Source organism: Homo sapiens, chromosome 14, assembly GCF_000001405.40.
Source record: "Homo sapiens chromosome 14, GRCh38.p14 Primary Assembly".
NCBI lineage: Eukaryota > Metazoa > Chordata > Mammalia > Primates > Hominidae > Homo > Homo sapiens.
In genome coordinates this window covers 78,852,388-78,865,539 of record NC_000014.9, presented here as the reverse complement: position 1 = coordinate 78,865,539, position 13,152 = coordinate 78,852,388, and the positions used below count along the sequence as shown (strand labels likewise).

The following is a 13,152-nucleotide window of genomic DNA, read 5'->3' as shown; positions in this document are numbered from 1 at the left end:
ACATTTCTGTAGGCTGTACACTCTAAGAATTCTAGTTTAAAAGTCACTGGTTCATTTCAGTATGCATAGCCAGTCTCAAGTTGTCACATTTTGTTCATCAGTTTTCCTTATCTCTTGCATTTTTCAAAATTCTGTGACTTTCAAGCACATTGAACCTTCTTACTTTTACAACTTCACTATCATTAATTATTTTACTTATTATGTTAACACTGCATTATCTGCCTGCAGAATTTCAACCACCATTTTCATAGAAATGTTAATACAATATATTTCAAAGTTCACAACAATACCATGGCCAATAGATCAATTGTAATCAATGATTAATAGTGAGTTAATAATGGTTGTTCATGAGTAGATAAGCACTACCTTCCTTGTCTTTTTTTCATAGCTCACAACATTTCAAATTGAGACATTAATGAGTGCCATGGATGAAAGATTGATCAGCTTACCTTCATGAAATGTCAAGTACCTGATGGGGTTCAGGACATACTACCCCAAAATACAGCAACTTGGCATTTGAGAAAGCAGCAGAAGCAGAAAGATCTCTTTGACTTTCTCTCACTCTTCTCCCCTGAAGCAGACCATAAAATAATCCTCTGACTTTCATCTAAAGCAAATCATAAAGACCTTCATTCAGAGGTATTCTCTCTAGAACTAGAGGAAAGCAGCTGAACACACAGAGACACCAGGAAGAATCTGAACAATAGGCCTTGCTAAGTTTCCCCCAGCTTATTACCATCAGGCCATGCCCACTTTTGTCCAGCCATACTTCCCCAAGACTGTCCACTCTTTATGAAACCAAAGTCTAAAATACACAGGATTCCCTGTTTCTTTGGGTCTTCCCTTCAAAGGCTCCAATGTCACATAAAAATTATATTAATTTGTATGCTTTTTTTCCTGTTAATCTGTCTCTTATTACAGGATACCTCAGCTATGAACCTAATAATGGGTGGGAAAATAAATCTTTTATCTCCTATATACTTGTGGCAAGTACTCATAATGACCAGAGTATCTTAAAATGTATGGAGAGGTGAAGCACCGAAAGGATAAGTTAATGACAATAATTCACATTTTTAAAATGTTGGCTAGGTTTCAGTTTCTGCCCTAAACTTTGGATATGCATTATCTCATATAATTCTGGCAGGAATCTTCAGTGTGAGGATGTTTTATTATTCTCAATTTGCAAATTTAAAAAATATAGATCCATAGAGTTAAAGATTTACCCAAGATTACATGGTTAGGGATTGGTGGACCTAAGATAAAAATCTACACTGTTTATTCAAAAGTTCACTTGTTGAACTTTTCAATTCAGGCATGTCCTTCTTCTTAAATTACAATGGATGAAATTAGGGAGAAATACAGAGGTGAAGTACATGCAAAACTTTTGCCCTAATCATTGACTGTCAACACCAGCTCCAACTCTCTAAATGTATTTTGAGTCTTCCAGTCAGAAAGGAAGAGATACATCCTAAAATAAGCTGGAGATGTACAGTAAGAAGTGATCTCAATTTTATTTATTTTACCAATTTCAAAGACAATATGTTCACAGGAGTTGTTTATACTTTTACTATTTTTCATCTACTAAGGTTAAACTATTGTAAAATTGTCTTTGAACCTACATTTTACCAAGATCCTACTTTTTAAATGAAGAATTTCAATTAAACCATTCTGACTCATTGAATTTATAATGATGATGAGGAGGAAGGAGAAGTGGGAGGAGAGAGAAGGTCACAATGAAAAAGAGGAAAGTGACAAAGAAGTCCACGCTTGATTTTTCAGTTTATTTTTATGGATTATTAAATGAATTAAAGGCTCCTTTTTAGAATATTTATGTATTTGTGGACTGAAATAAAATTGTTTTTAATTACTTTATAATTAGAGATCAAATCAATGATCTCATTGCTTCAAGAAACAAAATTGAGAGTCAAGGCACTTGTTGGGAAGGCTGTAGGTATAAATTTTAATTGAAATTTGGCTAAACATGGGTTGAAGAATGTACTAGGTTAGAATGTAGGGCATAGCAAGGGTCGGGACAAAAATCTGTCACATATGATTGATGAGATCATACAAAGAGCAATCAGAGCAGGCAGTATGGGTAGGGAATAAAAGGTGAAGATAAGAAACAACAATGGAAAAAATAGGTCAAGCCCAGAGACTAAGGGGACTGAGTTGCAGAGCACGTTCAGCACCCTGGATAGCTCCATACGGGGGCTGAACTGATAAACCTCTAAACGTAGGCTCCTAACCTCAAAATCTCATACTAATGCAAAATTTGTTTTCTTTTTGGAACTTTTTTGGCTGTCATGCATATAAGAATTGGTTCATATAAATTCAGTAAATCAGTTGATTTTCTTGTCAGATTGAGGATGTTGTATTGTAGCCTGACTTGTGGACTCACAGGGATACTCGTGGTTTTAATAGGTCTGATGGCCGAAATAAAGGACTTCATCATCCTGCATCTTGGGCAGGAGTTTAGCTTAAATACGGAGCCCTATAGGCATATCAGAAATGTATTATCCTCTAGAGGGTTTCATCAACAGCAATTTCCATTAATTTAAATTTATAAACTTTTCCACTGTGGCAGAGATAATCATATAAGCATTAATCCAGAATTACAAGGAAATGTCAAATGGTTTTTCAGACCTGCAAAATTATATTTTAACATTCTCTGCATCAGCTATGCCTACTTATATCTATCAATGCCACTCTCATCTGAAATTCCACTTTATAATTTTTATATGTTTAAACTGAGAAAACATATTTCCCACTAAATATATTTAAATCCTGTGTTATCTACTTTTTTGTACATGTTTTCATGACAGAGTGGTCTTATTTATTTTTGTATACTCAGCCCCTAGTACTCTATCTTGCATATGATAGGACATTAGTAAATGGTTGTTGAACAGATAAAATACTAAACGGGTAACCATTCTGTATAAGCAGCAAGTTATAATTATACATTATATAAATACGAATTAGAGATTTAATAAAACAGACCATACAACAAATTTAATTGGCATGATGTTGATCCAATTTACCATTTATCCAAGTTCTGTAATCCTAAAAAATCTTATAGGGATATCCTGCTGGTACTGAACATTTTACTAACCTTAAGCTAAATTTACTGCTCCCTTAAAGCTATGTGGATATTTAAAGATCTATCATTAGTAATAAATCTTCGCAAATATCCACTCTCTACTAGTCAATCTATTTTTCAAATCTGCCAAGCTCATTCATACTTTAGGGCTTTTTCCATCTATCTATCTATTTATCTATCTATCTATCTATCTATCTTTGCTATTTATAACAATCTTGTTATAGATATTCTTGTGACTAGCTACTTCTCATTCATGTGTAAGTTCAAGTCACCAACTAGAAAGGTCTCCCTAAGTAAATAGTATGTGTATACCACACCACTACCACATTGTTCTGATTCATATTCCTCAGGACATTCTTCAATATTAAACTGCCTTATGTAGAGGTTTTAGTTGTTTACTAGTACAACTGGAATGTAAACTCTAGTTCACATGGAAACAGGGACTTATCTGTCTTGTTCACTTTAATATCGTCAGTGCCTAAAAGAGTGCCTAATAAAAACATTGCTAACTAAATAATTAAAATATCCTATACTGGCTTTACAGATGGAGAAGCAACTATGTCACCTAGAAGAAATAAGGAAATGGGAAACTAGTTGAATTACTAGAAAGCCTGAGTGAGAACTTGATTAATTGTGTGGATAACTGACACTTGGTTTTACTGATGACAGGATGTGAGTGCATGTTTAAAACAGTATTGAATTAATAGAATTGTTATTACAGACTAAACATACATCACAGACTCACACTCAAACTCACACTCACTTCTTTAAGCAGTGAACATGGATGGTTTCTCTATGACAGCACAGCATCATGTATGTCTATTTACAACATGAGCATAAAATAAGAAGGGTGCATATGACAGGGTTCTTAGAAATACACTGATAGTTAAGTAATTATGTGTGTTTTAAGAGTTGGTATTACTTTGATGCTCATGTTAACAGTATCAAAACACCTCAGAGGAAACTCTGAGAAGGTGTGAACTCTTATTTATTTTTCAAGGAAATTCAACAGGATTCCAAGAAAAAAGAAAAAGCATCTTTGAAAGCTTCATTCAATTGAGACAAAAATTCTAATGCTTAAATGTTTGTCAATGTTTATTGGTATATATAGATAATAGAAAGAGTAGACAGATACAAATATTCCTAAAATGAATCTCCTGTTTGGCTAATGCAAATTAATGTTCAGAATAACAAAGCCTATAATTGTTATTTCATATAACACAAACTGTAAAACAACTTGTAAAAGTTGTATTTCATATAACATATTTCCTGTTGTGATTACCTTCCATAATTACAGTTACTATAACTCTCAGTTTAGCTTTGTGAAGACTTTTATGCAGAAAGGTGGAACTATTACAGGACTATACCTGGTAATATACATGATACACATATATAACGATCACCTAGAAAAATGCCATTTATACCACCAACTCAGAATACGGTAATGGCAGTGATGTTATTATCAAGGTACAGTCGACCCCTGAATAACATGCATTTGAGCTGTGTAGGTCCACTCATATGTGTATTTTTTTCAATAAAGCTCACACTGAATATACTGCCTCCTTCGCCTCTCCTTCCACCTCCTCCATATCTTCCACCTCTGCCATGCCTGAGACAGCAAGACTAACTTCTCTCTTCCTCCTCCTCAACCTGCTCAACATGAAGACAATGATGATGAAGACCTTTATGATGATCCACTTTCAGGTAATAATAGTAAATATATTTTCTCTTTCTTAATAACATTTTCTTAATATTTCCTAATATTTTCTTAATAACATTTTCTTTTCTTTAGCTCACTTTATTGTAAGAATACAGTATATAATACATATACAAAATACACTTCTTTTATTTAAAAAATGCATCCTAGTTGTCATAACCTAAAGTGACAATTCTAAGAGGTGTACATGTGCACTTGATGGAAATTCCAACCCCTGAAATTTATCCCAACACATACTGAAAGAATGTGATTAGAAAAATGTCTCCTTGCCTCTCCTACCAAATATATGACAGTTAGTACAAGACAGGTAAGTTTTTCCTGGAGTTAAGGTTTATATAAGATGGAGGGCATAGAGGGTAGAATTTAAGCATGAACTTGAATGCTGAATTTACTATCTAAGAGCTAGTAGACACTGGCAAATTACTTGATCCCATCAAGCCTCACTCTCCGTATAGATAAGGATGATAGTAAAAATACCTATGTAATAGCTAATAAATCATTATAATGAGAATTAAATGTAACAATGCATATAAGGTACCCAGTGCAGTAAATATTTACACATTAAATACTCTGTAAAAATTTAATAAATGTTAAGTGTTTTACTAATAATTTTGGCCCTGAAATTTTCATCTCAGGGCTAATAATAGCATATTACACCTGAGCATCCAATTGGGCCAAACTGTCAAAGAGAAAGGAATTAAGCCTACATGTTCTTTCCTACCAAAACTTTTGAGTTTTAGAAACTTATTAGGATATAATCTTCAGTAGCTCTTGCTTCTCAGGGACTAAGGATCTTTAGAGGAAAGATGGCAAGTAGGAGTCTTCACTGATGGAGGGGAGAGGATAAAAGTGAGAGTAATAAACATGTCTAAAGTGACTTTGTGTCTTCTTCACTACTTCCACACTGTTTACAGACCAAAGTGTGAAGAAAATGAAGGTATTCTATATGAATTTTCAAGAAAGTCCAACAGTAAACAGGCACTTACTGAATAATAATTGGGTACTTAAGCTATTCTAGTATCTCGGGAGATGATATATATAACAAGACCACAGTCCCCAAATAAGCTTAAGATTTTCTTGGGTAGACATACCAATAATTAGATCAACAAAGAGTTGAAAGTGGCAAACAGGGAATTGCTACAAAGTGTGGGGGCAAAGAGGGGAATTCTGATGAAAGGGATCCCATTTTTTGCTGTTCTGTTATAAACGCCAAGCTCAACCACATGGAACTTATATCAAGAAGATACAGGTCAACTGCGAGCTCCACAACATCATCAGACTGGAAAATCTAGAGAATCACATCTTGGATGGGAGAAAAGAGGTGGCGTCATATTATTAGCATCTGGTTGGTTTTATTACTCTTTATTCCAGATTTACATAAGCCAGATTTGATCCAGTGTTGGTCCATTCTCACACCGCTATGAAGGAGTACCCAAGACTGGGTAATTTACAAAGGAGAGAGGTTTAATTGACTCATAGTTCCTCAAGGCTGGGGAGGCCTCAGGAAACTTACAATCATGGTGGAAGGCAAAAGAGAAGCAGGCACCTTATTCATGGGGTGGCAGAATAAAGTGATTGCAAACAGGGGAAATGCCAGACACTTATAAAACCATCAGATTTTGTGAGAACTCACTATGATGAGAACAGCATGGGGGAAACCGCCCCCCTGTGATTTAATTACCTCCACCTGGTCCTGCCCTTGACACATAGGGATAACAGGGATTACAATTTGAGGTGAGATTTGGGTGGGGGATACAGCCAAACCATATCAGATTCTCTGGATTACTGCCTGTGAAAAATGTAGGAATACATACAGATTTCTAAAAGAACACTGAAGGCATGAAACACTGAATACTTGAAATCCCAAACTCTAAAGACCTTACCTAATAGAAAGAAAATGAGCTCACATATTTGTTGTGGTTCCACCAGGAACAAACACTTCAAACAAGCTGGCAAAGGAATCATGTGGAGCAGAATAAAGGTTCAATCAGCAGTTAACAAAAAAGTCCTCCGGAAACCTGAGTCCACTGAGAACTTAAACGTACGTCAAATCCTATCTGAAGTACAAAGATCAAATGTCAGGGTGAGACAGAGTAGCATTTCTAAGTAGTTGAGGAATTTATAAGCTCCAAAGGAAGTAGATTGCCCTTTGTTAATTACCTTTACTTACATCTTTTTGGTCTCAACATTATAACTGTCCTAATGAAGAAAAATATTGAGATTCCTCCTCCCTAGACAACCTTCATCTTTACCTCTTTCTTCAGAAGAGAATGAATTAAAATTACTCTAGTGAAGGTAGAACATCTAGCTTGCCGGGCTAAAAATCCACACATTACAAACTGCCTGCTTCCTGGCCCACAAAGCTCTCCATTTCCACACCCAATCACGGGCAATAATTCAATGGTATAGCTCCAGATTTGCATGGCAGGTCAAGGATTGTCACTAAAGTCTAAATTCCCCAGACAGGTGTCAGGGCTGCAGTCAAGGGTTGCCTTGTCATTGACATCAGCTCTCCTACTGCCTCAGCACAGACTTTACCAGCACCACCGGCCTGTCACTCACCTTCTGCAGATGGAATTCCTGGAAGTGCAGAGAGAAAGGGCAACACATGGTGTAAACTCTCTGCCACTAGGGAACTCCCCTAGCAAATTAGTTTTCTGGTTTATTTTCAGAAACTTTCCTTCGTAAGTGTACCTTCTTTTCACAGCATTCTACTTCCTATCTGTAGAAGCCCTAACCATCCCCGGAAAAGCTGAGTAGAAGAAACTAATTCAGAATCTTGGATAAGGGTATAACCTAAGAGTTTAATTATTTTTCTGTGCATTCAGTAACCTCCACTATACTTTGCTCCTCTACCCACCACCCTTCCACATTTTTTACTTACTACACATTGATATTTCTTTGATTGTTTTCCCCACCACCTCTAATTAATCATATGTTGAAGTCACTTTTTCCATACACACCCAGATTTTCCCTATTTATAGCTCCTTCTCAACCTATTATCTCTGCTGGGGATGGTGCTTCCCCATTTATATTCATCTGACTGCCTTCCCCCAGTAATATAAATTATTTTTTCCTTCCCTCTTTACACTAGCTGAATTATTTCAGCATACATTCATATCCCTTAAGAGATGTTTCACATAGTAGATGCATATTTATGGATATAAATTACACGCACACACAAACACACACACACTGGATGACTTTTTAATTACACATTTTTAATTGCAGAAAGCTTGGATTTCTTTAAGGTAATTACAGAGTTTGGACGCATCAAATTTCTACAAATCCCAATCCTTGTAGAGCCTCATCCAAGGCTCTACAGCTTCCATGCTTGTAATGGATTGCGAATTTCAACCCTAAGACTGCCAGAATAACTTCCTTCAACACTGCTTTATGCAGCATTTTTTCTTTTGGCTCATTCTAAATATGTTCATCTTCCAATGTAAATGTTGAAAAGGAAGGAAATCTACACATTCGGATGTCTTAAAAAGTGAGAAAAGGCCTGGCAAAGACAGTAAATATGCCTAACCTATGCCTTTGGGAGAAAGAAAAAAAAAACAATTCATATATGCCATCTTAATCTGTATAGGAGTCTGGCCTGAAGAGTTTTATACTTGATGTGTAGCATGAAAACATTTTCATTGCATAACATATGTAACCATGGGATAAAAAAATAAATAGTACAGCACAGGCCAGGTGTGGTGTCTCGTGCCTGTAATCCCAGCACTTTGGGAGGCTGAGGCAGGCAGATTACTTGAGGTGAGGAGTTTGAGGCCAGCCTGGCCAACATGGTGAAACCATGTTTCTACAAAAATACAAAAATTAGCTTGGCATTGTGACACACGCCTGTAATCCCAGCTACTCGGGAGGCCAAGGCAGGAGAATCACTTGAACCTGGGAGGCAGAGGTTGCAGAAAGCCAAGATCACACCATTGCACTCCGGCCTGGGCAACAGAATGACTGAGACTCTGTCTCAAGAAAAAAACAAATAAAACAGCATGAAAGTTGAGCATCACCTTTAAAGATAATATTACCTATCCATAAGACACTCAACAGGGCAGAATAAATATTTGAAGACTTTAGAAGTCTACAAATACATTAGCTTTTTTTTAATTTTACTTTATTACTGTACTGAACTTCATCCTCTGGAAAAACGTATAAGAAGAGACAACAAGGAGTAAACACACATCAATGATCTTACTTTGCTATTGACTATTACAAAGGATTTATAAAATAATTGCTATTTCAAGTTCCCAAGAACCCAATATACATTTTAGAATCCAGAAGTATTTACATTAGTTACTTTATAAATGGTTACTTATTTTTGGGGAGTTATATTTTGAATATACCCTCTAAATTTTTGGATAAATGGTTACTTACTTTAGAGGAGTTATATTTTGAATATATCCTTTACATTTTCGAGGTTGATGTCATAAAGAACATCTATGCTTTTAGGAGCCCCCATTCTTGTTATCAGTGTAAGAAAACACATGTTGAACCAAAATGGTATTGAAGTCCAGTTTCCAAAGGGGAAAAATGACTTTGCAACTGTGAAAAGCTTCATAGACCTCCTGTGGAATGCCTGTAGGCATACTGAGGTTGGAGTGTTTTACACAGCAGTCATAAGCAGTGGATGAGGGTTGTGCATAGCAACATGGTGGAACTAAGAAGAGACATTAAGGTTCAAATACTCTGACCCTTTCTTGGTACCAATGAGGAAAGAAGACCCAGAAAGATGGTAAAGTGGCTTGACCAGGTCAGAAAGCTACTTAGTGATTGAAACATGACTAGAAACACAGGCTTGGGGACACTTCCATTTTTACAGGAAAATCTTTATATTCTATAAGATAATATTACAGATGAAATACTATGACTGTAAAGTTCTGCAGAATGTCAGTAACAAGCTCTCCTTAGAATGCCTAATAAGAAAAATCTGTATATTCTAGGAAGGTATACAATCATGAACGAATCTCCACTGGAGCAATACCCCAAAGTAAAACCAAAATTGTAGCTAAATTTGAAAAATACTGTCAGATACACTTTCTTCAAATTATTTTTGACAGTAGCATTCATTGCCTCTGGGTTCTTAGAATTTGATAGAAAACAGGTTTAGTTTTTTTTGTGCTAAAATCATTCCTTTTCATGATCTCAAATTCTAGCAGTAAATGCCACCCTTTTAGATGAAACACTGTATAAAGAGGAGGTACACAGACATATAATTCAGGAAAACACAGGTATAACACATAGAACAGGCATTGGGATTACAGGTTTTATTCTAAATGTAAAGCTGTAAAGTGTCCACATGCTTTTTATGAATCATTATACCAAAGTGTACCTTTTTCAGAAGAGATTAACCAACCCTCAGCAGGCAGGTTTTCATCTTGTTTGTTTGCTTTACTGAACTTTACCAAAGTAATAATGTCATAAACATTTGTCTCTACAAAACTTCGAATCTTCTGGTAGAAAAACATAAAAGTCACTCTATCGTTGAAGACTATAAACCTTATGAAGAAAAAGGGCTATAGTCATATATACCTTTTTTGTATGTTTTTTTTTTTTTGAGATGCAGTCTCGCTCTGTCCCCAAGCTGGAGTGCAGCAGCGTGATCTCGGATCACTGCAACCTCGGCCTCCCAGGTTCAAGTGATTCTCCTGCCCCAGCCTCCCGAGTAGCTGGGACTACAGGTGTGTGCCACCACACTCAGCTAATTTTTGTATTTTTAGTAGAGACGGGGTTTCACCATGTTGGCCAGCTATCATAACCTTACTCAGTAGCTATCATAACCTTACTCAACCTGTATTTTTATATACGCTTAATTTACTCCACCTCAGTGACAATATTCCCTGGATGGTCTCGATTTCTTGACCTCGTGATCCACCCACCTTGGCCTCCCAAATTGCTGGGATTACAGGTGTGAGCCACCGTGCCCAGCCCATATATCTCTATATATATTTCCCATTCTAACTAATGTAGGCTTAGCAAAAACCTATTTTGAGGACAAAGCAAGGACTTCTTAGCCAGGAAACTTTTCATTTAATTCATAGCTTTTCCACTTAGTAGCTGTATGACCTTGAAAAGAATAGCCTCTATTATACACACTCACACACATGCATATACTTATACACACACTTAAAATCAAATTAGCAAGCAAATAACTATAACACTGTAGGTGCTCAATAAATTTTAATTTAATTTATTCATTGTTGGCATTTCAAACATAACTATTGGACCAAATTTACCTACCACTGAAATATGGCCCACTCTTGGGTAATGGAGGCTAACAGATCTTTTTTTGCCTATCGATTGACATGCTACATAGAATTTTGTGCAATTAAAAAAAAAGGTAAAGCTAGAAGAGGGAGCTGAAGTCACTTGTAAAGATCACCTACAGTAAAATGTGACCACTAGCCCGCCAAGGTAAGGCCCAAAAAATTATGACTAACTGTTAAAGCAAATCATGTTTGGCAAGGCCGAAGCATGTGTTACAGAAACTTGGGACAGGATGACAGCTACTAAAAATTAGAAACACCAAATTCGGCTGATGACAGCTGCCAAGGATATATGACAACTAGGAAATAACAAGAGAACACGTAATCAGAGGATGCTTGACTTTGGCTAAGTGGATTATTCCAACAGGTATAATTAAAGGTTGCCATATGGACTGTACAATAGATAGTTACAGATATGACAGTGATTTCAGAGGCATCAAAAGGAATCTACGGCTGAGCAAATACCTCTCTTACCCACAGCCTGAATATTGAAATTATACTCTTAGGCTTTAGCTCTGCTGTAATGCTTTAAGAATACAAATGCACTCTTTATTATGAGAGTTTCTCATACACTTTTCCTAAATCAGACTTTCACCTGGAGAAGAATGGCAGGTGCAGTGGGGAAGAGGACTTTGGGTACTAGGGAGACAAAAAGGGAAGGGTAGAAGTCAGGGCAGTGAGAAAGCAAAGAAATAGATGTGAACCTGAAGAGCTGTGGGTTGGAAAGATAAATAGCTTATTTCATTAGGAAAACTTTGAGAGACATAGTATTGCCAAATTCTAGAAAGTGAGTCAGTCCTTAAACGTGGACTAATTGTAGCCATGCATTGAATGTAATACACGTATTTTATCATACAAAATTTATAAAATTAACAAATATTATAGTAATAAAATTTTTAACTTATACAATTAACAAATGTTATAATATGTATTAAGAAATTACTGTATAACTAATGGGTACTAGGCTTAATACCTGGGTGATGAAATAATCTGACAACAAACTCCCATAACACATATTTAGCTATGCAACAAACCTGCACATGTACCCCTGCAAACTATGTGTCCATCAACAGATGAATGAATAAAGAATGTATGATATCATTCTCAGTAAACTATCACAAGGACAAAAAACCAAACACCGCATGTTCTCACTCATAGGTAGGAATTGAACAATGAGAACTCTTGGACAGAGGAAGGGGAACATCACACACCGGGGCCTGTTGTGGGGTAGGGGAAGAGGTGAGGGATAGCATTAGGAGATATACCTCATGTAAATGATGAGTTAATGGGTGCAGCACACCAACATGGCACATGTATACATATGTAACAAACCTGCACGTTGTGCATGTGTACCCTAAAACTTAAAGTATAATAGTAAAAAAAACCGTATGATACATGTATACAATGGAGTACTATTCAGCCATAAAAATGAATGAGATTCTGTCATTTGCATCAATATGGATGGAACTGGGGGTCATTATGTTAAGTGAAATAAGCCAGGCACAGAAAGACAAACTTCACATGTTCTCTTATTTGAGAAAGCTAAAAATTAAAACAAACTCAAAAAAAAAAAAAGAAACTAACCACACACACACAAAATGTGTTACACACTATATACATGATTCCACTTAATCTTTACTGGTGCCTAGGAGGTAGATGCATTAGCATTCTTATTTTATATATGAGAAAGCTCAGATTTGGAAAGATTCATTAACTTATTATTTAAGTTATAATAACTTAATAACTTATTATTTAAGTTAAATGGCAGAGCCAGTCCTAAAATGCTCCTCCACCTGACTTAAGAGTTTTGGGTCACACCTAACCAGAAATTCTAACAAAGGGAAGCAAATGTAAAAACATATGAACATAAAACACATGAACATATGAACATGAGATTCAATGTCACAGGCAACAGAATAAGAAAGTAGGTTGATTCAGAACTCAGATTTTATCTTCTAGCACGGTGATAATAACAAAACACTTCCAGACACCTGACTTAGAACCAGAATTTTTACACTCAAAAATAAGCTATATCAAATGTCCACTTAGACTCATGTCATTATAGT

General features: G+C 36.0%; 1 protein-coding gene across 52 annotated transcripts in view, besides 1 other annotated feature; it reads right to left on the bottom strand.

Moving 5' to 3' along the window:
• NRXN3 (neurexin 3) overlaps nucleotides 1-13,152 on the bottom strand; it is a 1,697,919-nt gene that overhangs the window by 1,002,752 nt on the left and 682,015 nt on the right. The gene's annotated exons all lie outside the window — the stretch shown is intronic.
• Nucleotides 2,087-2,287: a silencer, noted in NCBI's record as "peak2216 fragment used in MPRA reporter construct". NCBI's record gives its function as "represses an SCP1 promoter by STARR-seq MPRAs in K562 erythroleukemia cells {active_cell/tissue: K562}" and the evidence as "EXISTENCE:reporter gene assay evidence [ECO:0000049][PMID:32103011]".